Here is a 12,386-nt window from a genome sequence, read left to right as displayed (position 1 = left end):
GTCAGATGGCCTCACATGCTAGTGCTTAGGTCAGAGTCCTAAACTTATGTCAAGGTTATTTGTGTAGCCAGGGTGGAGAAATCCTGATGGTCTGATTCCAGCCTTTGTTCCTCCCTCCAGTGGAGTACCCACCACAGGCACCTGCTTTTTTTTTAATTTTTACTTTTGTTTTTTGAGACAGGGTCTTACTCTCTTACCCAGGCTGGAGTGCAGTGGTGCGATCTCAGCTCACTGCAACCTCCACCTCCTGGGCTTAAGTGATCCTCTCACCTCAGCCTCCTGAGTAGCTGGGTCTACAGGTGTGCATCACTATGCCCAGCTAATTTTTGTTTTCGGAGATGAGGTTTTGCCAGGTTGACCAGGCTGGTCTGGAACTCCTGAGCTCAAATAATCAACCCACTTTGGCCTCTTAAAGTGCTGGGATTATAGGTGTGAGCCACTGTGCCCAGCCACCTGCTTCCTTTTTTTTTTTTTTTTTTTTTTTTTTTTTTTGAGACAGGGTCTCACCCTGTTGACCAGGCTGGGGGGCAGTGGCACAATTAGGTCACTGCAGCCTCGACCTCCTCTGCTCAAGCCATCCTCCTGCATCAGCTTCCTGAGTAGCTGTGTCTACAGGCATGTGCCAACATACCTGGCTTAGTTTTTACTTTTTTGTAGAGACAAAGTCTCCTTATGTTGTTCAGGCTGGTCTCAATCTCCTGGACTTAAGCGATCCTCCCACCTCAGCCTCTTAGAGTGCTGGGATTACAGGCGTGAGCCACCCTGCCTGGCTCTTTTTTATCTTGAATTAATCTCTTATTAAGTGAGTAAGGCCCACACCTGGCCCCCTGGTACAACATCACCTGTCCTGCCAAAGCTGAAACTCTCTCTACCTCCCCAGTAATGGGCTTTCTTCCACTTGTGAAACAGCTCCCTCGGCAAATGTCCCTCCAAGACCCTCCTCCTGGGTGGGCTGGGAGAACACAGGCACCCCAGGTAGGCCTGGGGGACGCAGCCTGCCCCTCCTGCTCTGCCAGGTTGCTGTCAGGCCCGATCCTGCACTGAGGGGCCCCCTGTGTGAATGTGTGCCCTCTCCTGTCTCCACAGTGGACTCCTTTGAGGAGGTGGAGGACAGCCTGTATGTCCCCCAGTATAACAAGTACGGGGAAGAGAGGGTGATCGTCTTCCTGAAGACAGCCTCTGGGCACGCCTTCCAGCCTGACTTGGTGAAGAGGATCTGTGACGCCATCCGCGTGGGCTTGTCTGTGCGGCATGTGCCCAGCCTCATCCTGGAAACCAAGGGCATCGCGGTATGACCGTCTTCTGCCAGCGACGAGACCAGTGCCATCACCCCATGAGCCCACACGTCGAGGGGCGCTCACATCTGAGTAGTTTGCTGGTGCTTTACATATCGTTTGTCCACGTTGCCTAGCAATGCCATCCTCTCTGCCATCTTTTTTCCTACTCTTTCTAAGACTGCATTTAAAGCAATTTCTGCTAAATACCCACGTTCAGAGGGTTAGCGAGCCCAGCCCTGCAGGTCCGACTGGCTTATCCCTGCTAACCCCTGGTTTTAGTGTGTTCTCAAAATTGTTAATGAGAACATTAATTTTAACATTGTATTTTTTATTTTATTTATTTTTTTGAGACTGAATCTTGGTCTGTCACCCAGGCTGGAGTGCAATGGCTCAATCTCAGCTCACTGCAACCTCCGCCTCCCAGGTTTAAGCAATTCTCCTGACTCAGCCTCCTGAGTAGCTGGGACCACAGGCACACGCCACCATGCTCGGCTAATTTTTGCATTCTTAGTAGAGACGGGGTTTTGCCATGTTGGCCAGGTTGGTTTCAAACTCCTGACCTCAAGTGATCCGCCCACCTTGGCCTCCCAAAGTGCTGGGATTACAGGCATAAGCCACTGCACCCAGCCAATTTTTTTTTTTTTTTTTTGGGATGGGGTCTTGCTTTGTCACCCAGGCTGGAGTAGAGTGGCGTGATCTCGGCTCACTGCAACCTCCGCTTCCCAGGTTCAAGCGATTCTCCTGCCACAGCTTCCTAAGTAGCTGGGATTATAGGTACCTCCCACTGTGCCCAGCTAAATTTTTGTATTTTTAGTAGAGACAGGGTTTCACCATCTTAGCCAGGCTGGTCTCGAACTCCTGACCTTGTGATCCACCCGCCTCGACCTCCCAAAGTGCTGATTACAGGCGTGAGCCACTGCACCCAGCCAATTTTAACCTTTTAAAGAGCTGCTGGGAGCTGTTGCTCTTGCCTTTTAATTTTAAGTTCTGCTGACACAGACGAGACTTGACTCTTTTTAGAGGCAGGTCTTCAAAGGTTGCGTCGTCGTCCCCCAGCTCCCCGCCCCAGTACACTCTGCTTCGAGTCTAAGTTGGGGAGGAGGAGGTTCACCCAGATTGGATCACAGCTTTAATTTGCATTGCTTACAAAATGGATGTCCCCGCAAGCTGACAGAAGCTGTTGTATGTGTGCACGTGTGTATGTGAATGTACACACACAACAATTTAAACAGACAGTGGGAGGCTGTATTTAAAGCCTACAGACTGGCTGTTCATTAAGGAGAAGATGGGAGCAGACACTCACTGGGTTCCCAGGAGAAGCTGACTTTGACGTTGCCCAGGAGCTGGGCTGAGTCTGTGAGGAATAACCAGAGACAGGATTTACCAGGAGAGGCTGTTTTCTGGACGATGTTGAAATATGTGATGCCATTGACTTTGAAACCTGCAGATCATTCTCTTTGTCTTAAAAAAAGTTCTTTCAACATCTTGAAAACAGTCTGTCCAGTGGTGGGGGCTGGGGAGAGCACTCGCAGCATGGCCACTGCGTGCGATCCCCGACCATCCCTGGAGGACCGATTCCCGCTCGGAACCCTTGTTCCTCCTCCTCCCGGCCCCTGTCCACATCTGCGGTGTTGGTTCCTTTTCTGTGGCGTCCACACATTTCCTTTGCGTTCTGGTTCTGCGTGGGAAGAGCCCTGCAGCTTGGGAGCTTTCCATCCATCTCTCTCTTTTTTTTGCTTGGTGACTCTTGGCGGCTCTCTGCAGGGACATTGGTGCTCTCCAAGAAGGTACTTCTTTAATCAGTGATGCTTTTTGTCTTTTCCTGATGAGGGTCTGTTTTTCTTGGGTGAATAAGTGCTGTCTCATCTGGAACATTTTAGGGAACTGGAATTTGAATTTGTCCCCTTGGCTTTATTTTATTGAAAAAGAACTTGGGTCTTTTGCTTCCGAAATGGTTATTACCAAACCGTATCTGATCACAAGAGTAGTGGAGCAATTTATTAGGAAGGGAGAAAACTAAGCACGTTTCTTTCCATGGTTATTCTGGCTTTCATAGGCTTGCTGCCAGGGTACCCAGCTGGGCTCTGGGCTCTGGGCTCTTTTTCTCCCCAGGTAGGGTCTTCTCCTGGGTCCATTCGGGAAGTCATTGGGAGGGTTTCTCCAGGTTTTTGAATGCCCTTGGATTTTCGGACCCTCGTGGCAGGCTTAGGAGAGAATTTACCTCTTTCGTTGCTGAGCTAAGGAGGGGCCCAGCCTCCACAGGGAGGTGACACGGCATGGCCCCAGCCTGCCCATTCGGGAACTGGACCCACTTCAGGGTCAGAAGAGGACAATTGAGGTCCCATCTGCAAAGTCTTGGGGCCTTGCTGAGGCAGGAGAGCTTGTTGCAGGTCTGACCTTTCACATGGTGCTTGCGGAGAGTGGGCTACCCTCCTCCCACCACCCCAAGAATAGCCTGAGACCAGGGCCTTCCCAGCGGTGGGAATGGGAGGTGGCCTGTCTCTGTCTCTGCGTGGAGAGACACTGCCACTTCTGTTCCCTGGGAAGCCAGCACCATTTTCAGTATTTGTGGGAGGCCTTGGCGAGTGCTCAGGAGATATTTGGGCCCAGAGCCAGCCCCACTCCTCGTGTTGAGTAATACTGATCCATCTCTGGCCTGTGACTTGAGGAGAGGAGCCCCTCACCCGCCCGCCACAGCTCAGGGTGATGATGCGGCACCCTGATGATGATGATGTGGCGGGGACTAGGGAGGCTCTTGCCGGCGTGGTCGTTGCCGCCAGCCTTCACAGCGGCTCCTCTGAGGGTCTTCGTGCACAGGGGCTCTGTCACAGCCCTGGCTCCCACTCTGTCCCCGAGGCATGACTTTGGGCAACTCACTTAGCGTTCAAGCCTCAGTTTCCTCATCTCTAAGATGGGTTGACAACAGAGACTCTCTGGTGGTGCCGTGGGCCACGGGGTGCCCGAACGCAGCCCTCCTGCCTCTGTTTCTGTGCTGCCTCCGCTCACCATCACCTTCATTCAGAGTAGGTGTGCACGCCGTGCAGTGCCCTTCCACACACCTGATCTCAGTTGCTCTCTGCTCAAATGTCAGAGAGGCTTTCCCTGCATTTCCTGTTTGAACAGTGTCCTGGCCTCCATCTTTAGCTTTGACAGTGTTTGCCATGGACTGAGGGTGAGCTCTTGTGTATGTTCATGTCTTTCTATCTGGAGTGGGGGCTCCTTGAGGACAGGAACCTCGTGGGTTCACCACCTCCTCAGAGCTCAGCTGACTGCTTGGAAAACAGCAGGTGCTTGTGGTGTCTGGTGAGTGAGTGGTGGGTCGGGAGCTGGTCCTCTGACCCTTATGAGGTGGGACAAGCTTGTGTTCCTCAAGCCCATCTTACAGATGAGGAAACACAGAGAGATGAGGGGTCCTGCTGAAGGAAGTGGTGTCCGTAGCCAGCCCCACCTTCTGCTCACCTGGAATAAAGACCTGGGGACCCCGGGCGGGTCATGGCCAAGTGGAATGGACTCCTGACATTTGAGGGCTTCCTGCCTGCAGCCCCCAGGCAGCCATGGCTGTCCAAGTCCAGCGGGCCTTTGCTCAGGACGTGGCTGGGATATCTGGCCCTTCCTGCCAGGAGGCTGCTGGGCTCCTGTCTATCTGGGGAGGCCCCGTGCAGGGGTAGGGGGTGGAGGCTTCTTTTCTCTTTCCCTTTCCTCTGCCTTTCCCCTCTCCCTGGAGGAAACGGTAGCAGGATTTCTTTTAAGGGGAGGCCGCTATATTTTACCAGCAGGTGGAAGGTGGCGTTATTCGTGCCCACGAGCTGCACATGGACCCCTGCATGAAGCGTAGTGGGGCACAGAGCAGGCGAGCCATTTCCATCTCACAGCGGGAGGGCCGGCGACACCACACGAAGTGACATGCAGGCCCTCCTCGGAAGCCGGCGCTTAGATCCCTAATTAGTTCACACGTCGACTGAATTTTTCAGGTGAATGAATTTTAATTACAGCTCAGGTTAAAAAAAAAAAAAAAAAGGCACCAGTGATCCAGAGCTCAGGCAGAGGAGCCCTACTGGGCTCTCTTGCTCTTGAGGTTTTCTAGCCCACAACACACCCACGCCACCAAAGGCTCGTTTGGATTCAAGGTGAAACACATGTGCCACGAATCTTAGAGGAGCTCTGAATGTTTGGAAAGGGTGCAACTACGAGAAAAAGTAACGCACCGTCTGCTGCAGATGGCTGGCTCCGAGGAGGAGTTCATGGGAACTTGGGGATGCTCTTGCCCGTAGCTCTAGGAAGCTGGGCCACTTCTGAAGTAATGGCAGCAGCTAGTCTTTATCATAGAATAATGTAATAAAATGTATAGAGAAGTAAAAGTATAAATAAAAGTAAAATCATCATAAAACATAGTAGCTAGGCGCTTCTGAAGCTGTGCGTGCACTGACCTGTTTACCCCCTGACTCACAGCCCTACAGCCTAGGTGCTGGCACCCCCACTTTCATTCAAGGAAATGAACCAGGTTCAGGAATTCACCCAGCATCCCCCAGATGTGGTGGTGGCAGAAGCCACATCTTCCCTGAAAACTTTCTTGCTCAGGGTGCCTGCTCAGATTTAGGAATGATCTTATGTCTGCATTTTCATCCTGGTCAGGCAGAGCCTGGACCCTGAGAGACACTTTTTTTATGTTCCCATCTGGAATATGCACTGCCGGGGTCAGTGGGGTGTCTTGAGGGCCCTCTGGAGGTCAGCTTGGATGTGACACATGCAGCGGGTCCCAGTGGGGCCCATTGAGGTGTGCAGCGTTAGAAAAATGAAGGTGCTCATGGTGACCTCTGGGCATCTCTGAAATAGCCTCACTTTCTCAATAACTGTGCCAGGGGCAGTGTGGGAGGGTTTCAGGGAGTGTTAGACTTGGGTTTCAGCACCAGGTCTTGAAATTGCCTTTCAGAAATAGGTTTTGCAGACCTAGCAGGGAGAGGGGCGTCTTGGAGCTGAGACTCATTCACTCTTGGCTCTCCGGGTGGAGGCTGGGCCTTTTGGGCCTGGATATACCCAGGGCCGTGCGTTTTCCCCGCTTCAGGTTTAAGTGCAGTTTCTTGTTTTTTTCTACCCTTCCCTCGCAGTACACGCTCAGTGGCAATAAAGTGGAAGTTGCCGTCAAACAGATCATCGCTCGAAAAGCCATGGAGCAACGAGGTGCTTTCTCGAACCCCGAGGCCCTGCATCTGTACTGGGACATCCCTGAGCTGAATGGCTTCTGAGTCGGACTGGCTGGCACAGGGAGGATGGAAACCTTGAATGGCCTGGCGCAGGAGTCCCTGGCTTGCAGGCAAGCTGTGCTTAAGGGCTGCCGGTGGGAACTGGCACCTGAAAGAAGGCATTTGAAGAGGGAGGTGGTGGGTGCTCCTGCCTCACCCAGGCTGGGGTGGAGGGAACTGCAGTTTTGGTAACGACTCCTGGGTCCTCTCTGTGCCTGTTGCTAAGGCTTTTGTCCGCTGGGCTGTCTGGTGGCTAAAGGATATGGCTTCTACTGTGTGGTCTGCCGAGCTGTCCTTTTGCAACAGGGCCTGAGACCACTGACTTCAGGGGCTGGAGTCACAGTTGTGTGGGCTTTGGGCTGGGTTCTGCTGAGCCCTTGGGGCCTAGCCATTTCCTGCCAATAATAGCTAACACTGCTGTAGTACATACCATATGCTGGGTGCTGTTCCAGGGCCACGATCCTGAGTATAACCCTAGAAGGTAGGTGTCATCATTATCCCTATTTGGAAGATGGGGAATAAGGCCCAAGTTCAGGGAGCTTGCCCAAGGTCACATGGGCTAGGGCCAGCCCTTTTGGAAAGAGTTCCCAAGAAGGATAGTGAGACTCCCTCTTTTGATATCGTGGGTACTTCCTGAATATCTAGATTGATCAAAAAAATCATACCCCAGTGAAGAAGATCAATTACGTGTACATTTTCCAAGTCACTTTGACATTGTCACAAACTCACATGCTTGAGCCTCTAATTCGATTTTGAGTGAGAATCATTTCATGTGTCATGAAATTTCAAAAGACAACGTTCAATGAATGGTACTTCCCATTATTCCAGCTTGATTGAAATTGTGGGTTTCTAAAAAGATACTATTTATACTTTTAAGACAATGGAGCTTTCAAAAGGTTTCTGACTCTTAAGTCTTCTTATGTGATTTCTAAGGAAGTGGAAATTTTCAAATTTTCATTATGAATGTGTCTTTATGGCTTTCCTTCTTTTCCTTTGTTCTTTCTTTACATATCCTGACTCGACAGTGTTTCTCTCGCCCTTGATGGGAGCTTCAGGTTCTTGCCAAAGTATGTATCACATAATTGCTTTCATGTTCAGACACGGCAAGAGTGGGTTGTAAATGACTGCGACGCCGATGTCACAATTCTGTTAGGCCTGGTTGACCTTGCAAATTGAATTCAGGGAGGGCAGTGCTTCTATCTGGCTGCTAGATTTATTGTTCCCAGTCTGGGGAGAGGCCTGGGGAGGCGTGGTATGGGATTTCTGTGCCTAGGCAGCCACTCCAGCTTGTCCTGTGCTGCCTCCCTCCTTTCCATCTTGGTGTCTTCCTCAGCTCTCGAAACAGAAGGCAGCAGCCCATGATTGATGGGCTCCGGCCCGCTGGGGTGTTATTAACCACTCTGTCAAGGTGACAATGTCATTTTTAATGTTCCATCTTCAGACTTGAGGCTTATTCTTAGGTTGAGAGTTAGCCAACCTTGACAGAGATAGAACCCCTAAAAGTTTAAGACGTGGTTCTTGACCCTGGCTGCTGGGGAGCTTGCAACAATACCGGTTTCCATGAGGGTACCTTCTGGGATGCAGGAAATGTTAGATGTCTTTATCCACGTGGTGGTTACTTGAGTTCATATATGTGTAGCAAAAACTTGGGCTTTGGTGAGGATATGGAGAAACTGAACCCTGGTGCCTTACTGGTGGGAATGTAAATTGGGGCAGCTGCTGTGGAAACACACTGGTGGCTCCTCAAAAAGTTAAACATGTAATTACCCTGTGAGCCAGGAATTGCACTCCTAGGTATATACCCAAAAGAACTGAAAGCAAGGACAGAAGCAGATGCTTGTAAGCTAATGTTTGTAGCAGCGTTATTCACAACCACCAAAAGGTGGAAACAACACAAGCATTTGCTGATGAATGGTTACTGTTCTGTCCCTACAATAGAATGTTATTCAGCCACGAAAAGGAATGAAGTTCTGACACACACTGCAATGTGTATGAACCTTGAACCCATTATCGTGACAGACACTGGTCACAAAATGACAAATACTGTATGATTCCACTTACATGAAATACCCAGAATAGTCACATTCACAGGGACAGAAAGTAGACCAGAGCTTATTCAGGGAAGGGGAGAGAGAAGGAATGGGGAGTGAATATTTAATGGGTACATAGTTTTAGTTTGGAATGATGAAAAGTTTCTAGAAATGGATGGTGGTGACTTTTGCATAACACTGTGAATGTACTTAATGCCACTGAACTGTACACTTAAAAATGGGTGGAGTGGCAAGTTTTACGTTATGTATATTTTACCATAATAAAGATATTTGAGATGTACAGTTAAAATTTTTGCTGTGGACTATAAATGTATGTTTTACCTGAATTGTAAAATCTGATTTCTAGGCCCTACTCCTAAGGATTCTGATTTTTTTTTTTTTTTTTTTTTTTAAGACAGAGTCTGACTCTGTCACTCAGGCTGGAGTGCAGCGGCATAATACCGGCTCACTGCAACCTCTGCCTCCCAGGTTCAAGAGATTCTCGTGCCTCAGCCTCCCGAGTAGCTGGGATTGCAGGTGTGCACCACTTGTCCAGCTAATTTTTGTATTTTTAGTAGAGATGGGGTTTCACCGTGTTGCCCAGGCTTGTCTCGAACTCCTGACTTCAGGTGATGATTTTAATAGTTGGGAGAAAACTCTGGGCATCATTATCTTTAAAAACTTTAAAAACTTACCATGAGGAATTTATAGTTGAGGAAAAGAGGCAAAACTTAGGCATGAAAACCCCTCAAGAATAAGAATTGTGGAATCAAGGCTGGGCCATGTGCTGTATGAAGGCCAATGAGTTGTGAGTGGAAGGGACGTATCATTTTTACGTCACAGGTCTTAATTGCTGATGTAAGAGTCTCCAAAGCTCTCTTTTCCCTTTGGTCATGTTTGACATGGGGGCTGCTCTGTCCCCCTGGTCCTGAGTGATACAGGTTCTGACACTGGGCCTGGAATGATGAGTGGGATTGAAGGAGTATAGGAATTGAATGATCCTATGTAACATAAGTGGGGCAACAGTGTCACGGAAACTCATACATGGGGAAAGCTTTGTGAGTTTCTTGGGCTTTTCCTCATGGTCACAAGATGGCTGCTGCAGCTCCGGCACCACATCCTCAAATACTTAAAGCAATGAGGCAGCCAGTGCAGTGAGAAGTCTCTTTGAAGCCCGTTCTTATTTGACCAGGGGGAAGTTTCTCCCCAGAAAGATTGTCAGCAGCCTTCTCCTCCGACTCATTGGCTAAGAACTGTATCTCATGGCCACCGCTAGCTCTAGAGGAAACTGGGAAGCAAGTATCTGTATTCCTTTCCTTTACTTTCTGTGTTTTGATATAATTTCAAATTAAAGTTTCAAAAATAGCACTAACAATTCTAGATAATCTTCACTCAAACTGCCCAAATGTTGGCATTATGTGACATTTGCTTAATCCTTTTCTCTCTCCTTACGTACACACACATACACACGTACTTATGTGTATTTTTTTTCTAAATGGTTTGAGTCAACTGCACACACAATGTGCCTTTGTCCCTAAATACTCTATTGTGAATTCCTGAAAACAAGGATATTCTCACCAGGCACAGTGCCTCATGCCTGTAATCCCAGCACTTTGGGAGACTGAGGCAGGCAGATCATGAAGTCAGGAGTTCGAGACCAGCTTGACCAACATGTGAAGCCCCGTCTCCACTAAAAATACAAAATTAGCCGGGCATGGTGGCACATGCCTGTAATCCCAGCTTCTCAGGAGGCTGAGACAGGAGAATTGCTTGAACCCGGGAGGCAGAGGTAGCAGTTAGCTGAGATCGCGCCACTGCACTCCAGCCTGGGCGGCAGAGCAGCAAGACTTCGTCTCAAAAAAAAAAAAAAAATTCTTTTTTAGCTATACTTTCTAAGAATCTCTTGGTGTCAGGCTCCCAGAGAACCCCACAGAATATAGACAGTAATGGATGGCATTGTCTACCCTCAGTGAACTTCTTGCCCAACAGGAGGGAAGGAACAAGTATTTCTTGTTCATGTACTACATGTCAAGCCTCGAGTTAGCCACTCACATTCACTCTCTCCTTCAAATTAGCATATCAGCTCTGGGAGGCCAGTGCTGTTACCTGGATAATGATTTAGGGGGCTTTGTTCCTTTCAAACCAGAGGAACCATTCATAGCTTTCTCCAATTCCTGGGTCGGCCTCTCCTCACCTCACTTGAGTATGGTTGTTTTAAAAAAGAATCTGAAATATTTTTTATCAGGTGTTTCAAGGAGCTAATTATGAACTTCACTGTAATTGTTCATTAGTTATATTTTGTTCAGTTACCTTAGCAATTTGCCAAATGGAGCACAAAGCTGGCCTTGCTGCTTTCCCTGGGGCTGCTGGTTTCTTGCCTTTGCTGCCGTCTGTGTCTCTGCTTTTTTTCCTTCTCCTTGAAGTGAATTCTATGGGCCTGAACCCAGTGCTCCACTCCCTTTGTTGTGAGGTGAGTTCCCAGGCAGTGTTCTAGCAGGCTTCTCATCTGTTTCAGTCGCAGAGACCTTGGGACAGTTAGTCTCTGCCAAACCTCCTACAGGCCAGGGCTTGCTGACCACAGGCACGTGCTGCGGTCCGTGATGGCGGGCATGCTCGCACTGCGTCTGGAGGTTGGGCACTGCCTCTTGGCTTCTGCTGTTGGGAGCTCACATCAATGGTGGCCACACCCCCGATCCATCATACCTGGCCTACAAAGGAGAAAGCCACAGACCTTCTAAGGATGCAGGTGTTCCCCCCATGAATGTATTTCTCAACACCTTAGTAAAGAAGGCATTTTCTGGGGTCTCCTGGGGGATGTAGTTGGTGGGTAGGCGTGCAGGTTGCCGTGGTAAAAATCCTTTCAACATTTCGTCTCCCTAGGCCTTCAGATTCCCTCCTCCAACCATGCCAGGGCAGCTCTGGCATCTCTGCCCACTCATCTTAGGCCACCATGGAGTCCTAGTTCCAGCCACCAACCAAATAAGCTTTGAGAGCCACCTCCAGTTAAGCAAACTAACACGTGATATCCAAAATCTTAGTGTACCTAGGTCAGGGAGTTCAGTCTACTGTAGGTCATGTTCTTCTGCCTGCCTTGGTCTGACACGCTCACACACTCCCTAGGTTTCTGCCAACATAGATTGGCAACATCTTGCAGTTCTCTTGGTGTAAAAGCAATCTCATTCTAGGCCATAGTGGGTACTAAAAATCTAAGATCCTAGTTGTGAGTCTGGTGCCAACTGGTGGTAGTTGTGGTGGGTCTGAAGGAGAATAGGCATCTCCTCATGTGAGATTGTCATACAGTTTTCAAGAAAAGGGCAGCTAGTCTCCTTAGACACAACAGAGCAAGCTCCTTCGTTTGGCAAAAGAGGCTCAGAGTGACTTGTGGATTCAAGATTCTCAGTTTCATCTGAGTCCCACCAGATGTCCCCATTCTAAGCTTCAGCATCCTCTTTTTCAATTTTATCTATTTTATTTTTTTTTGAGACAGAGTCGCCCAGGTTGGAGGGCAGTGGTACGATCTTGTCTCACTGCAACCTCCGCCTCTGAGGTTCAAGCAGTTCTCAGAGACAGGGTTTCACCATGTTGTCCAGGCTGGTTTTGAACTCCTGACCTCAGGTGATCCACCCAGCTCAGCCTCCCACTGTGCTGGGATTACAGGCGTGAGCCATGGCGCCCAGTGGGTCTGGATTCTTTTTAAGTCTGATAAGAAACATTTACAATCTATTTTCTCCGAAGCCTACTACCTGGAGGCTTCACCTGCGTAATAAAAACCTTGGTCTCCACAACCCCTGAACCCAGACCCTCTGTTCTGTTGATTTCAGGTCTTTAGATAATGATTT

General features: G+C 49.1%; 1 pseudogene across 2 annotated transcripts in view; it reads left to right on the top strand.

Annotated features, from left to right (window-relative positions):
* AACSP1 (acetoacetyl-CoA synthetase pseudogene 1) overlaps positions 1-8,857 on the top strand; it is a 53,575-nt pseudogene extending 44,718 nt beyond the window's left edge. The window contains exons 8-11 of one of the 2 annotated variants that reach the window (NR_024035.2): positions 1,087-1,289; positions 5,054-5,248; positions 6,383-6,588; positions 7,543-8,857. The product of NR_024035.2 is annotated as an acetoacetyl-CoA synthetase pseudogene 1, transcript variant 2 (transcript). Of the gene's footprint in view, positions 1-1,086; positions 1,290-5,050; positions 5,249-6,382; positions 6,589-7,542 lie in introns of both variants that reach the window. The other variant, NR_135095.1, reaches the window with a different exon arrangement.
* The last annotated feature ends 3,529 nt before the right edge of the window (positions 8,858-12,386 follow it).

The sequence above is a fragment of the Homo sapiens genome, chromosome 5 (genome assembly GCF_000001405.40).
Source record: "Homo sapiens chromosome 5, GRCh38.p14 Primary Assembly".
Taxonomy (NCBI): domain Eukaryota; kingdom Metazoa; phylum Chordata; class Mammalia; order Primates; family Hominidae; genus Homo; species Homo sapiens.
The sequence above is the reverse complement of the archived record's forward strand: the minus strand, read 5'-3'. Positions and strand labels throughout refer to the sequence as shown.